The sequence below is a fragment of the Homo sapiens genome, chromosome 18 (assembly GCF_000001405.40).
Source record: "Homo sapiens chromosome 18, GRCh38.p14 Primary Assembly".
Classification (NCBI taxonomy): domain Eukaryota; kingdom Metazoa; phylum Chordata; class Mammalia; order Primates; family Hominidae; genus Homo; species Homo sapiens.
Window position 1 is genome coordinate 9,137,876 of NC_000018.10, and position 15,513 is coordinate 9,153,388.

At 36.2% G+C, this 15,513-nt stretch overlaps 1 protein-coding gene across 18 annotated transcripts in view; it reads left to right on the top strand.

Moving 5' to 3' along the window:
- Positions 1 to 15,513, top strand: part of ANKRD12 (ankyrin repeat domain 12) — a 149,205-nt gene that overhangs the window by 1,095 nt on the left and 132,597 nt on the right. The gene's annotated exons all lie outside the window — the stretch shown is intronic.

Sequence of the window (15,513 nt, forward strand, 5' to 3'; positions counted from 1 at the left end):
ATGCGAAGCTTAGCTGACAGCTGTTTTAGTAATAACAGTAAGACGCTGTCTGGGATAGGAAGTTACTGTTGCACTCGTTGAAACCTTAGGAAACATTTAAAGCAGTGTAGTCACCGGGATTGTAATTTCCACTGGACACCCGTGGTTAAACTGCGAACTAAGGTGAAGTGTGTTGCAGATCCAGTGCTGTGTATGTAATGGTTCGGAATTACCTCTAATCCTAAAGTTGAAATGAGCCTGCATCTGCAGTCATGTATTTCGTTTTCATTTTAGAATGGTTTATGTAAATTATAAAGAAAGGCTAGTGAAATAGCTATTTTATCGTAAATTAACTGTGTATTAAAAACATATGCACAGCCGGGCGCGGTGGCTCATGCCTATAATCCCAGCACTTTGGGAGGCCGACGTGGGTAGATCACCTGAGGTCAGGAGTTCGAGACCAGCCTGACCAATATAGTGAAACCCCCGTCTCTACTAAATATACAAAATTAGCCAGGCGTGGTGGCGCATGTCTGTAATCCCAGCTACTTGGGAAGCCGAGGCAGGGGAATCGCTTGAACCCGGGCGGCAGAGGTTGCAGTGAGCCGAGATCGTGCCACTGCACTCCAGCCTGGGCCACAAGAGCGAAACTCCGTCGCAAAAACATACCAAAACAAACAAACAAACAAACAAAAAAACATATGCTCAAGTAGGCCGTTAAAAATCTTGGGCACTGATCTGAGTTTCTTTAATCGTTATACAAAGCCTTTCCTGGAGATTAGCTCAGAACTGGCAGAACATATGCTCTATTGGTGCCAAGTGGCTTAAAAGCAAAATGAGGATAGTGTCCACCGTGTAAGATGAAGTCGTTATATTAACAGTCTTGTTGAGAAAAATCTTTAATTTGGGTTAAAAGCAGGAGCCTTTAAAAATTTGAAATGTTTACCCCTGGAGATTATAGACAAGGGGAGAAAAGTTTTACTACTTAAGGATCTTTTATATTTGATACAGGCACTGAATAAATTTCTGAAGCTCTACAGGCATCTTGGCTAAGGTCAAGTTTAACTCGTTATGTGTTTTAGAGACAGATGAGGTGTTAAAATGGAAGGAAAATGAGTGTTAAGTGTACTTATGTAGGATACTTTTAATGTTCTTAATCTTGTATAGTTTTCATAATCTCATAATTTTCATAGTAGTTGGTAAGAATTAGTTATCGGAATAGTTTTATGAACTACGCAGAACTGGGAAAGTGGAAATCTCTGGGTGTGTATTCCATGAAGAATATTTGAGGAGGAGTGAAGAGAACAAAAATATTCAGACGAGGAAAGAATTTAGCTGAAAATACATTGTGCAGACTTACACTGGTTTGTTAATACCCAAGGGGGAAAAAAGCCTGAATTTTATTTGCAGACTAGTGTCCAGCTGGTAGAATGAGTTTAAAAGGAAGATGCTTTTATCAAGCTGTCGATATTACTTTTTCCCCTATAGAAGTTGAAAACCATGACTGATACTCTTTTGAAGTAGATTGGAGAAATGGTAGGATATTTGGAAAACACTTCGTTGGAGAAGAGATTTTTATTCTTAAAAAAAAATAAGTGATTTTTAAAATATCATTTTGATTTCTTGCTATTAGCTGACACGTAAACTTTTCTTTAAACCATTCTTACGTTTTAGGAGCATTATTTCAGTCCAAAAAGAGGATGGTTAATGCAATCATTTCCATCATAGTTCATAAGAGGTTTCTACTGCTCTCTGTATATAGACTTAGTTATGTTAAAGTAACGTGTATCAGATGGGCGTGAAGAATTTGTCTAATAATTGCTGTAGGTTGCTTAAGAGCTATTGACACTGCTTTCTGACTTGGAATTTGTTGCTAAAAACATGTATTTGTAAGATGCCTGTGCCTTGTAAAGGGTGCAGTGTTGAGATTTATCCTTGGGACAGGAAGGGACCTCTGATTTTCTTTATTCATTTCCTTTATTTTTACACATGAGAAAATAAGGTGAAAAGACTTAAAGCTAGTCTGCAGCTAGTTAAAAACTAGTCTGTGGTTTGGCCGAGAGGTTTCTTTCTGTGAAGATGCTAATTTGCCTCTTTCTTTAGAAGTTTTACGGAGTTGTGGAAAGAACATTGAAATATAAGTGAGAAGGCCTGGGTTTAAATTCTTGATTTATCACTTCCTCACTTCCTAACAGTGGTTTTTGACATATCGCATTAACTTTCAGAACCTTGCCTTCTATCAGCTGCAACTTTAAAAATACAAAAATAATAGCCTTGTCTTCTTAACCTGCAAAAGTAATTTTCCTGCATAATTTAATGTTTTCATGTGGAACAAATGAGAATGCTTTAGAAAGCACATTGTACACTGTAAACTTCTATACAACGTGGTGATGTTATTTTTAAAGAAAATACAATTCTTAAAGTGTAACAAGGTGTTTAGATCCCTGGATTTTTGCGTAGCCCTACCTTTATTGTTTTCATCTTCTGCTGTTTTACAGATAACTCCTGTAGATACATTTTCTGATCCCCACTTAGTTCTAACCTTAGTTAAGCTGCTTATGAACATTTTAAATATTGCAGTTATTAGTCTGACTTTCCCTGGAGAATATGAAGTTTCTTTAGCCTTTGAAAATATTCTCATGTATACTCATGCATTCATAATCTGTTTCTGTAACAGACAGTGGCTTTTTAAAAGTAATAGTGAAAGTAATCTTAGTAGCAATGTTAATTTATTTGACTCTTGCTAGTTTTCAGGTACGCAAAAGGAGGAGATGATTTCCTTTAAAAACTCAGCTTTGAATAGTTCGTGTTATCTGGTATATCTGAAATATTCAGAAATGTTAAAACAGTTTTTGTTTGCCTTTGCTGTTAAGTTTGAAACCTCTTAGTGCTTTCAATTGATAATCCTGGAAACCAACCTCAGTATTGTAGTATTACATAGATTATCGGAGTTTTTATAGTCTTGAAAATAAAGGTACTAATAATCATAGATAATATTTGCTGAACACTTAGAATATGCAAATTTGTGTTTTAAGTGAAACATTTCAGGTAATTTTCATAATAACCTTGTAAAACGGAGAGGAAACTGAGGCTGTGAAGAGTTATGTGATGGATAGATTTTACATACTAAATAATAGATTTCATTATCCTGTTTTATTAACCATTGCTCTGCCTCTAATTAAGAGTGTTGGTTTTCGAAGAGTTTGAAGGCGGGGATTCTTAAATTTCAGATTTCATGAAAAATGTTTGGGGGCCAGCTATTCTACCTTCTGGGTGGTCAAAAAAGAAAAGAAGTACCTTATGGGAATCATAGAACATAGGCCAGCAACCCTTTTTATGAGATGCTGATATACTTGTTGCTGTGGTGGTGGTGGTGGTGGTTTTATATTAGTTGTCAGAGCACATTATTCTTACCAGATACAGAAAGGGCCATGGTTGTTCATATAATATGAGGCTATCCTAGCAAATTCCACTTTGCTATTGATATCATGCTTCTAAAGAGACATTCTTTCATCACAGTGACTGAAGAAAAAGCTAACCAAACTCATTTAGGATTTTCATAAGGGAATAGAGCCAGCAATAGAAAATCTGCTGAGTTTGTCCAGCTTAGAAAACAGTATCCAAGACCAGGTTTTCTGATTAGTGCGATCCTCCAAAATTGTAAGAAACTTAAATTCAAACATAAGTCCTTAGAAAATTCAGTTGTAACATGGAGATGCTTCCAACTTAAAGGAGGTAGATTATGAAGCTGAAAGTTACAGGGTGGAAGTCATTTCTTTTTCTTTGGCTTTAAAAAAAATTCTAAAAATTTAAAAATTGTGTCATCTTTGGCCAATTCCTTAACATCTGTTTATTGGGCTAAAATTGTTTCAAAATATGTAATAGTTTACCTTTCTGGTTTTCAGTGTGTACTCAGGCCATAACTGGGAAAAAATAACACAAATGTTAGCAATAAGTACATTTTTAACTACCTTATGTCTGTTAACTATCTTATTTTGACAATTAAGATTAATCTCTAATAATATGCATAGATTGGGGAATTGTTAACCTTTTAAAATAAATAGTGGGTTTTTTGTTTGTTTGTTTTTGTTTTGTTTCACTATGTTGCTCAGACTGGTCTTGGTCTTGAACTCCTGACCTCAAACAGTCCTCCTGCTTCACCCTCCCTAGTAGCTGGGATTACAGGTCTTAGCCACCTTACCTTGCTATATAGTCTCTTATTGTAACAATAGCAAAGAGTTACAATAGAACTCTATAGCTTCTCAGATTTCAGATTGTTACTCCTACATAGGAGTTTTGTCAGCATTCTGACTTCTAATAGAGAACAAAAACCATTTGTGGCTCTCTTTTCTGCCTAGAAATAGCTATATTGACTCTCAAAAGAAAAATAGTAACTTAAAAATTACAGTGCTTTGTAGTTCACACAGTGCTTTTTACATCTGATTCTCTTTTGAACCTCACAGCTCAGTAGCAGAACAAGGATTGTCAGCTAATCTGATGATACTGAGCCATGGATTGAATCCAGGTTAAAAGTATCTGGAGTAATGTTAGATTCCTTTGAAACTCACTTATGAAAGAGAAGCATTAGCAAACCTAAAGGAAGAGAAAGGAGAGACATGCACTTCTATTTTCTCCCACCAAATTCATATTGTACACAACTTTCTATTCTGTTTACCCGTTCTGAAACAGAGTAGAGGTAAACATTAAAAACATTCCTTATACAGCTTTAATAATTAGTAGTAATGGGCCAGGTGCAGTAGGTCACTCCTGTAATCTCTGCTCTTTGGGAGGCTGAGGCTGGCAGATCACCTGAGGTCAGGAGTTTGAGACCAGCCTGACTAACATGGTGAAACCCCCTCTCTACTAAAGAATACAAAAAATTAGCTGGGCGTGGTGGCGCACCCCTGTAATCCCAGCTACTTGGGAGGCTGAGGCAGGAGAATTGCTTGAACCCAGGAGGTGGAGGTTGCAGTGAGCCAAAATTGAGCCACTGCACTCCAGCCTGGGAGACAGAGTGATACTGCCTCCAAAAAAAAAAATTAGTTGTAATGGTTAATGATGATAAAGACAATTAGATAAGAAAATTAAAATTTCATAACACATTTCCTACCATAATTTGCACAAGAATATTGTAACTAGGAATAAAGCCTTGGCTTGCATTCCAGTGTTCTATAGTAGTCTTGGAACCTCTGAGTTAAAATAAATCCTTTCTACCAGAGTTTAATTCTCACTACTTGGAAGTTACTTGGTAATCAAGGAAAAGAACTTCTATTGAGCTTCTGTACGCTAGATACTATTAGATACTTTCATGTATGTTACATGTAAGTGTAGATATCTTAAATATCGAGTTAAGAAAACACTTCAAAAAGTTGTTGCCAGAATATCTCTAACTGGGTCTTTTTTACTCAAGAACTTAAGTTGAAATTTATAAGTTATAAAAATGTTAAGTCTGTTACTTTGAGAAATTTTTTCTTGATTAAGATCAGTCCAATTCACTAATATATTTATAGTTGACGTGATCATCCAGTAGTGGTTATTGAGCCTTCAGAAATTACGCTTATCTTCCAGGATTTGTAAAAACATCTCAGGAGTGAAGAGCATTCTTTTTGTTTTGTTTTGTTTTTAAGACGGAGTTTCACACTGTTGCCCAGGCTGGAGTGTAAAGGCATGATCTTGGCGTACTGCAACCTCCGCCTCCTGGTTTCAAGCGATTCTCCTGCCCCAGCTCCCCGAGGAGCTGGGATTACAGGCGCTTGCCACCACGCCTGGCTAATTTTTTGCATTTTTAGTAGAGATGGGGTTTCACTATGTTGGCTAAGCTGGTTTTGAACTCCTGACCTCGTGATCCACCCACCTTGGCCTCCCAAAGTGCTGGGATTACAGGCGTGAGCCACCACTCTCTGCGGAGCATTCTCTTTAAGCTGCAGTTGAATATGACCAAACACCACCACCACCACCGCCCTCTTTAGTGTGTTTCTATTTGTCCTCATGTTATTGAAAGTAAGCAAGAATGGTTGACAGCAGATTGGCTTACTCATTCTTTCCTTTGTCCTTTTTCACCCTTTGAAGCTCTTCCTCTTCCTTCAGGCACTAGTGCTCTTTCTTGGAAAGCCCCATTGAAAATTAATCTATACTTACATAGATACTTACATACCTATATTTGTGTTATTAAACTTAAAAATTATATTACCACTTTCATTTTACATTAGCTAATGCATGAGGAAATAATCATTTGCATTTTCTCTACTGTGACTTGACACATCATATCCTGTGGCCATTTTTCTCTTTTTTTCTTACTCAAAACTTCCAGGAGTAGCAATCAATAATTTAAATAATATTTTAACATTTTTGTTAGGGTTTTACAGCATGCAATTATTGTATGCTATTGTTTAAAGATTATAATAAAAAGGTTATTAATTCTCCAACCTCCTTTTGCATAATCTTTATATATTAGTGATTATTAATCTTCTATATGTTACAAATATTATTTTATAGCACCATTGTCCCTTCAAAAACCCCAGAAGAATAGGCTCTGTCCAAAGTACTACTACCTTATTGGGGTGATTACTCTTTATGCTCTTTTATTATTCCATTCACACTCCTAGTCTAAGAATTTCCCCTCCCTATAGCTTTTGTATACTCAGATGTTAGGGTGGGAGTAGCAGAAAACAGAATCTTTTGAGCATAAGGGGAAACATGTAGTCTCACACTTGAGTCGTATTCATTATGAAGTGCTAATAGACTGGCAGAGGTATAATTACAACTACTCCATAGTTGATTATAGGTTCTCCACATATACTTGCAAAAATCTTAACGAGGTTTATCTTATTCCCATTTTGCACCTAAGGTTCAAGTTAAATCATTTAAAGTTATACATATCTAGTAAGTGATGGTGACTATATTGCTTCCTTTCAAAACTGCACCTTCAAAGATGATGATATTAAAAGAAAAGATAAAATGATAAATTTAGAAACTTTAGGGGAAAATATGTAATTTGCATATCATATTAATTATGTATGTATTTGTATGTATGTAATACATACATTATGTAATAAATATGTATACATATTAATATGTGTATCATACTAATATATCAATAATTATGATTATGGACTTTTACAAGGAGTAAAAAGTGAAAAGTCATGAAGTATTCAGTCTGAAAATGTAATGGGTTCTTGAATTTGAAAGTATTTGAAATTTTTATCTTTTTATTTCTGAATTTTCCAGTTTTACCACAATGAACAAGTATCATAGATATAATGAAGTTTTTGTTAGTTTTATTTTTAGGTATGGGTTCTTGCTCTGTTGCCCAGGCTGGAGTGCAGTGGTGTCATCCTAGCTCACTACAGCCTCAAACTTCTGGGCTCAAGGAATCCTCCTGTCCCAGCCTGTCTTGTAGCTGGGATTGCAGGCATATGCCACCATGCCAGACTCTGGATGTAGTGAAGTTTTAAACATTTACATAATTAACAGTTTTTAGAGGAATGTCTCTAGGTACAGCATTACATCTAGCATTGTTGAGGCAGGGATTCGGGAAGATACAAGTGAAGGCAATATTATAGTATGTGTCTTTTTAAGAATTCACACTCAGGAAACAAAATACACACATAATCACATAGGAGGATAGTATTATTCCTTAATCATCCAAATTGCTTTCTAGTTGCTGTGGAAAGGAACATGGTAAGCCATGTAAAGACACGAATCATTCTGTCTTGTTCTCTATTCCATCACGTTGTAAATGGTTAGCATATGTTTATTGAATGAATGAGAATCACCTCAGTGCCAGTGGCAAGAGGGTGGTCTGACTGGCATAAGAGGATGAACTGGGACTAAAAGTGGGTAGCAGTTGAGAACAGCCACAATTACTAGGATGAGGGGCTTAATAAAAATTAATTTCCAAGGTGGGAAATGATATAATACACATTTTCTTAGAAAGTAATTCTAGAAGTATAGAATTTAAATAGGAGGTAACTATTTAGAAAGGTTCTTAAGGGTTTAGACCCCAATTGTAAGCACATATCTGAAGAAGGCATTCTCTGTTTATGGGCAACTTAAAATCTAGCAAGAAGAGGTAATTACCTAAAACCAAGATGCATAATTAGGAAGAGGTTCTGTGTATATTTTGAAGTTGTAGATTTTTTGGTGAATATGAGTTCAGGGAAAAGGACCTGTGTGTTTTAGGCACTGAAATAGGTCTCTTCAAAAAGGCCAAGAATCACTGAAATGTAGGTTCAGTTTTTGCTGTAGAACTCTTAGATTCTTAGAGTCCTTAATTTCTTTTTTAGGGGTTATTTTTTATAATGTAATTCCTTTAGTAAACCTGCTTAACATTTGCACCATCAGTGACATTTGCCTTTTTTTCCCCCGATTCAAAAACATTTGTGTGGTTATATGTCAGAAAGTGTTCTATTTTAAAAATAAAACCAAGCCTGGCACAGTGGCACATGCCTGTAATTCCAGCTACTCCAGGAGGTTGAGGTGGGAGGAACATGAGTTTGAGCCCAGCCTGGGCCAAAATAGTGAGACTCCATCTACAAAAGAGTTTTGGCTGGGCACAGTGGCACACACCTGCAATCCCATCACTGTGGGAGGCAGAGGTGAGAGGATTGCTTGAGGCCAGGAGTTTGAAAGTAGCCTGGCCAACATAGTGAGACTCCATCTCCATAAAAATAAAAAAAAATTAAAAACCAACCAAATACACGCTTATTCTTTTGCATTGATGTTGGAGTTTTCAGAGTACCAGCCTTTTCACATTACTTTCTTTCAGCTATTAGAATACAGTGAAATTACTCTGTTCTGGTCCCTCATTACCATATTTCTCCTTCTCATCAACATGCTTTGGCAGGGAAAACAGTTTATAATTCTAAGTGACTTTGGTCAGAAGAGCTACCAGTGACATATACTGCTACATTAAACCAGTTTAAAGTGTGTTTTCCTTTGAATGCCCTGGAATATACAGTTGTTCTGAAATCTAGTGTATATTATAAGAGGTAGGTTTGTGTTGGAGAGTGAGCAGGATAAAGAAAAACGTAGCAGTTCAAGACTAAAAGGCCTAAACAATTCAGTCCTGGTATAGTCATGGAAGTGACAATTTTAATCTGTAATTTGAGCAGTGTTATTACCCGTCATATTATTGGATCAGGGTGGAAATGATGTTGTATGTAAGTTAGAAATACTTTATTTATTACTTGGATTGCTGTCTTGTAGGGACACAACTTGCAGCTCTCCACAACTGCATCAAGAATTTGGACGTAGTTTTTTTTTAGGATCTCAGGCTTATATTGCAGAAGCAGTGATTATTGTAAACTATTCTGGTTTCTTAATGACCTATCCCAATCTCACTTATCTTATGTACCACTGTTAAAACTATATCGATTATTTAAGTAGTTAAAAATCCTTTCATTTAAGGCTAAAGTACGTGCCTGTCATTTTTATAGAAAGCAGTAAAAGTGAGATAGGGCACTTTTGGGGGTTAAGCTGTGAGCAATACTTAAGATTAGCACCAGCCTTATTTATAATTGTTATAATATGTTGCAAAGATTGGCTGCAATAGCCTATCTTTTGTGGGGGGCTGCAGAGGGGGCAAAAATAAAATACAAAAAAATTTATTTAGAATATTTTAGATAATTTAAAAGGTACAAAAAATAGCATGATGAACTTTCCTTTTTCTCTAGACCTATTTAAATCCTTTTATTTATTCATTGTTCATCTCAACTGTGACCTATTCAGTGAAGCCTGACCTCTTCCATCTTAAGTCTGTTGCACATCGTATATAGTAGTGAGAGCAGTGTGACTAGAGGAGTTGAAAATAAGATTTATGTATGTAGTAGAAATGTACCTAGAAATCTAGTGAAAGCTAAACTTCAACATTTCACTGTATGCAGAACAAAACTAATAAAGTATAGATTTGAGAGGAACCAAACAAAATAATTATTTTAGGAAGATCAGTTGTGTGGAGCAATAGGTCTAAAAGGAAGTGGTGAATTGCCAACTCATTTTGATTGGCTTTTTCACTGTACTTACTCTGTGAAATTTTACTTGGCCTTCAAACAGTTTACCATTTTGCTAGAAGAGAAAGGAGATGGCAGAATTCTTAATTATGAATTTTTCTAGTTTTCAGGGTTTTAGAATCCTTTTAGAACCTGTAAACTTTTTCCCTATTGACAGTGAAGTGAATACAGTGGCTATTAGATTCTACTTTTCAACATTGGTAGTATTTTCTGCTCCCAGTGCCAGAAATGCAAGTAAAGCTGGCTAACCATTTTCTCTGAGCTGTTGCAGCCCTCTACTGGTTTATGGAAGTTGCAGCAATTTAGAACCTGTTAGGGCCAGAAGGTCAGTAAACTCAGCAACTCATTTAAAAAATCTCAGACCTTTAGAAGTCATCTGTGCCAACCCTCTCAATTGCAGATGAATATTTTATATACCTACCTTAACAATTCTGGAGGGAGGGAAAAATATATATATATACACACACACGTATGTATGTATGTATAAGATACCCTAGGCAAATAGATAATTGTAAATATAACTGCCCATATTTATTTACAAACTCTAAATGTATTGTTAGAATGTGATCCTTTACAATCAGATGTTTCATGTTGTCAAAAACATCTCTTTAAAGTCTTGTAAATATTTAATGAAGTAATGAAAATTTTATTTTTTAAAAATTTGAGGTGTTTATTTATTACTATTAGAAGATAAATACAACAGATAAATGCTAATTGCTTAAATTATTTCCAAAGCAATTTTACTTATTTATTGCTGGAGCCAGAACTTAGGTTTCATTCTAGGCTTCTTGTTCTTGTTTACTCTTCCACCCCTGTCCCCTGTGATCCTCCCCCCGCCACAATCTGGTCATTGTGCTTTAAGTGGTCTCCTTGTGTCTTAGGTAATTCCTCTTAAGTCCATCTTCCAGAGTTTCACCAAGGGCACCTTTCTGAACACACTACTCGAATTATGTCACTACTTTTTTAGAAGCCTTTTTTGTTACCATAAAGAACAGACTACACAATGACAAGGGGCTTCATGATGAGATCCCTTCCTGCTTCAGCCTCATTTTCTGTCCCACTCTGCTTCAGTTTTTTGCTGTTCCTTCATTGTGGTCTGCTTTTGTGTGTGGGCATGTGTGTACACCTGTGCATATGCTTATCCTCCTCCCACACCAGCCCCATCTATATCTACCTGCCTCAGAGTCATCCTCAACACTCTATTTTAGTGTTCCCTCTTCTTGAAATTCCCTACCCCTACCTCCGTACGCATGCACCCAAATTGGGTGCTTGCTTACATAGCATTTATTATTCTGCATGGTAACTAAATTGTCTTTTTTCTGTTAAAAACTGTCAGTTCCCTTCAGGCTAGGATTGTGTTTTGTTCATCTTAGTTCCATTATGTGACATGTAAGTGTTTAATAAATGCTAAGTGATAGAATAATTGCATGAGCAAACTAGGATATGATAGCTAAAGGAAATACCCACACTTAAATAAGTTAACATCACAGACTTAATTCATTTTTCTTGACATTTTAAGGAGAATTAGTTCATTTAGACTAGTGTTTATTGAACATACTTTTCATGATATCTATATTAAGGAAAGCGATGGTTGGGGGAGATAAAGAATAGTAGAATTTTAGAATTGGAATGAACATCATTTTAAAATGAGGAAACTGAAAGCCAAAGAGTTTACTAGAAATTTCAAGTTACAATTAGAACCCAAGTTTTATAGTGCTTATTTTTTACTTTCCTAATTTCCTTCTAATGTATTTTACCTAGATTTGGCTAGGATTAGTAGATACCGGTTGTTTATTATTTCAGGCAATTGGACTATCTAAATAGAACTCTATCCTGTAGGTTTACCTTTGTGGAATTTTGAAAGTAATAATAGACATATAGCTAAAGCAAACCGACTATTTGTAATGATTTATTTATTTATTTATTAAATTTTATTTTTTTTTTTTTTTGAGACGGAGTCTCACTCTGTCACCCAGGCTGGAGTATAGTGGTGCAATCTGGACTCACTGCAACCTCCACCTCCTGGGTTCAAGCCATTCTGCTGCTTCAGCCTCCTGAGTAGCTGGGACTACAGGCATGCGCCCACCACGCCCGGCTAATTTTTGTATTTTTGGTAGAGACGGGGTTTCACCATGTTGGCCAGGCTGGTCTCGACCTCCTGACCTCAGGTGATCTCGCCTCGGCCTCACAAAGTGCTGGGAATACAGGAGTGAACCATCGTGCCTGGCCTGTAATGTATTTATTTTGTATAGTCTTCTGAATTCTTTGTCAGGCTCAGTTTCCCGAAAGGTATAATATTTAGCAGCACCAATAAAAAATGAATCCTTTGTTTACTGGATTGAGCTTGTGTCCTAAATCTTTTGCTTCTTTCCCTATTCTGGATTTAGAGTTAGAAAATATGTAAGTACCTTTTATCTCGTTTCGTCTACCACTGTCTGAAGCACTCCGTTACCTGCCATCTCATGTATTACTTCCTCTTGAGTTCTACCCAGAACGCTGTAGGACTCCAGAGGAAACCAAGTAGAAATGGATCTATGTTATTATTTTAAAAGAATTTTTTTTGCTGATAAAAGCAGTACATTTCCATTCTAAAGTTAAAACTTTAGAGAACTTTATAAAATAGACCATAAAAATTCCTTAAGGACTTTTAAGAACATTGTTTTAAGGACATTGTTGAGGACAGTTTATTGTAAAAGATTGTAGATGCCTGTACTTTTTTCTTCATCTTTTGCATGCTGTTGGTGGTTAAATTTTGTGATTTTGTGATTTTTTTTAAAATTTATTTTTATTTTTTATTATTATTTTTTGAGACGGAGTCTCGCCCTGTTGCCCAGGCTAGAGTGCAGTGGTGTGATTTCGGCTCACTGCAAGGTCCGCCTCCCAGGTTCAGGCCATTCTCCTGCCTCAGCCTCCCGAGTAGCTGGGACTACAGGCACCTGCCACCACACCTGGCTAATTTTTTGTATTTTCAGTAGAGACAGGGTTTCACCATATTAGCCAGGATGGTCTCGATCTCTTGACCTCGTGATCCACCTGCCTTGGCCTCCCAAAGTGCTGGGATTACAGGTGTAAGCCATCGCGCCCAGCCAATTTTGTGATTAAAAAAAAAATGATGCTAATTTCTTGATCTGGAATGCAACCATGAGCTTTTTGTGGGAAAATGTTATGGAATAACTGCCAGAAAACATTGTGGTGAAAATTAACTATTACTTTAGGAAAATATGATAAAGAGAGCATGTTCCCTTTTTATAGACTGAATTCTCACTTGAATGGCTTAAATAGCTAAGGCAGGGAGGGAAGTCCAGTTAATATCTCAGAAGCACAACTATTTGTTTCGAGGCTTTTTCCAGTATTTTTTTCAAAACCACTTTAAAAATGTGAGGGAATTAAGCTGCTTGTTCGGTTTAAGTAGGAATTACTTAGTGTTTATGTCTAATGGTTTATTTTTTGCATGTGAGGAAAACAGCAGAAAACATCTAATAATTTATCATTTTGCATTCATAGAAAAAATACTAGAATTTGGAGTGAAATCATTCTAAACCTCTTATTTAAGAAGCAGAATTTTGGAACGAGAGGATCTTAAATGTCATCTAATTTAATTTTACTTTCAAGAAGAAACAGAAATACTGAGAACTGATGAAGGTCAACCAAAAAGTCTTTGGTAGATCTCAGAATAGAATCTTGGACCTCACGCTCCCAGATCACACTACATAAAAAGTGATGGTCACTTTCCTAACTGAATGACCCTTAAGGACCATTCAAAATTGTGTACTGTGATATGGTCCTTTGCTAGTTGTCTTTTTTTCTCAAATCAATTTCGAAGAAAGCGTTTTTGCCCTGAAAGCGGCTGCAGCTCAGTGGAAGCTGGAACTGAAATAAAGTTAGGAACTTGCATTCCTTGCTCAGAGTTCTCTCTTTACTTTCTCTAGATAGAATACAAAGTGGGTGGTAAATTTGAATATTTTATATGCACTGGGGTCTGTGCTAAGGTATAATTTTAGTTACTTCTCATAGCCTTTTTATTGAACTTTATCATTTCATAATATAGATGATGAAATTAAGTAATTTAGGCCAGGTGCATTGGTTCATGCCTGTCATCCCAGCACTTTTGAGAGGCCGAAGCAGGAGGATTACTTGAGGCCATGAGTTTGTGGCTAGCCTAGGCAACAAAGCAAGACCTGGTCTCAATACTTAAAAAACAAAAAGAAAAAAATAATTTGGACTTTGCTCTCAGTTGTATTTAATCTAAAGTACATGTTTTAGGGACTTCTGGACAAAAGGGTAGACTGGAGATGCCCCCTTCTTTTTCAAATATGGAAAAGCTAGATAAAAATAAAACACTTAAAGAAAGGGGAATCTGCAGGTGCCTGAAATGAAAAAGAACACAGTCATAACAGAGAACAGAAGTTGAAGCTTTATCCTATAGGGAAAATAAAAAGATACCTTTAGTGTGTGAGCTTTAATGTAGTAGTGGAATCCATTGGCCCAGGAATGGCAGAAAGCCAAGACTGGGCTCTTTGAGTAAAAGTCCAGACCAGGAGGACTCTCAATTATTCATAAATAGGTCCTTAAAAAACAGGCCATCTACCAGCCTGGGTTTATATTTCCAGGTATATCTTCTTCCTGTCTTTTTATTTTCACCGTTTTTGGTCTTCTTTAGTGGTCTGCTTTTTTTTTTAAAGTATATTGCTGGATTCTGTTTATCCACTTTTACAGACTCTTGATTAGTGAGTTTCATTTATTGTAGTAATATATATATATTGGAAGTTATCTACATTCTATTTACCACACTTAAAAAAATTTTTTTCTGCCTTCTGTCACATAGATTGAATGTTCATTTGTTTTCAAAGGCATCCATTTGATTTATTGAGACCTATATTTCTATTCATTTTCTACAGTTTTTTAATTTTAATGTATATTTTCCCTCTAAGCCAGATAAGTCCTTTAAATGCTTTCTCACTTTCCTGTGGGCTTTTTCCCTCTCCTTGACCCCTACCCTTTCCCAAAAGCCTTGTTGATTGATAGGGGTATTCTTTTACATATTTGTCCTTTTTCTTTTTGTATGAAATAGACTTATTAGATTATAAACTCACTCTTACTCCCATATGTTACATAATGTCCTCATGTATTTCTTTTTTAAAAAATTTTTCTGTAGAGACGGGTCTCACTATGTTGCCCAGGCTGGTCTCCAACTCCTGACCTCAAGCAGTCCTCCTACCTCAGCCTTCCAAAGTGTTGGAATTACAGGCGTGAGCCACTGTACCCAGCCCATAGATTTATTTCTATTATTTGAGTGCCTACTCAAAAGCAGATTTTCAAACAGGGTATTTACATGTCCTTCTAAAGCCATTTGATGTCTGAAAATATTTTTCGTTAACCCTCAGGTATAGCTGATAGCTTAGTATCACCAATAGCTTAGTTTGAGTAATGATTTTGGTTTTAAATAGTTTCCCCTTAACATTTTGAGAATATTACTACATTGTTTTCTTATCTCTGATGTTACTTTGGGGGAAGTTCTGTTGGC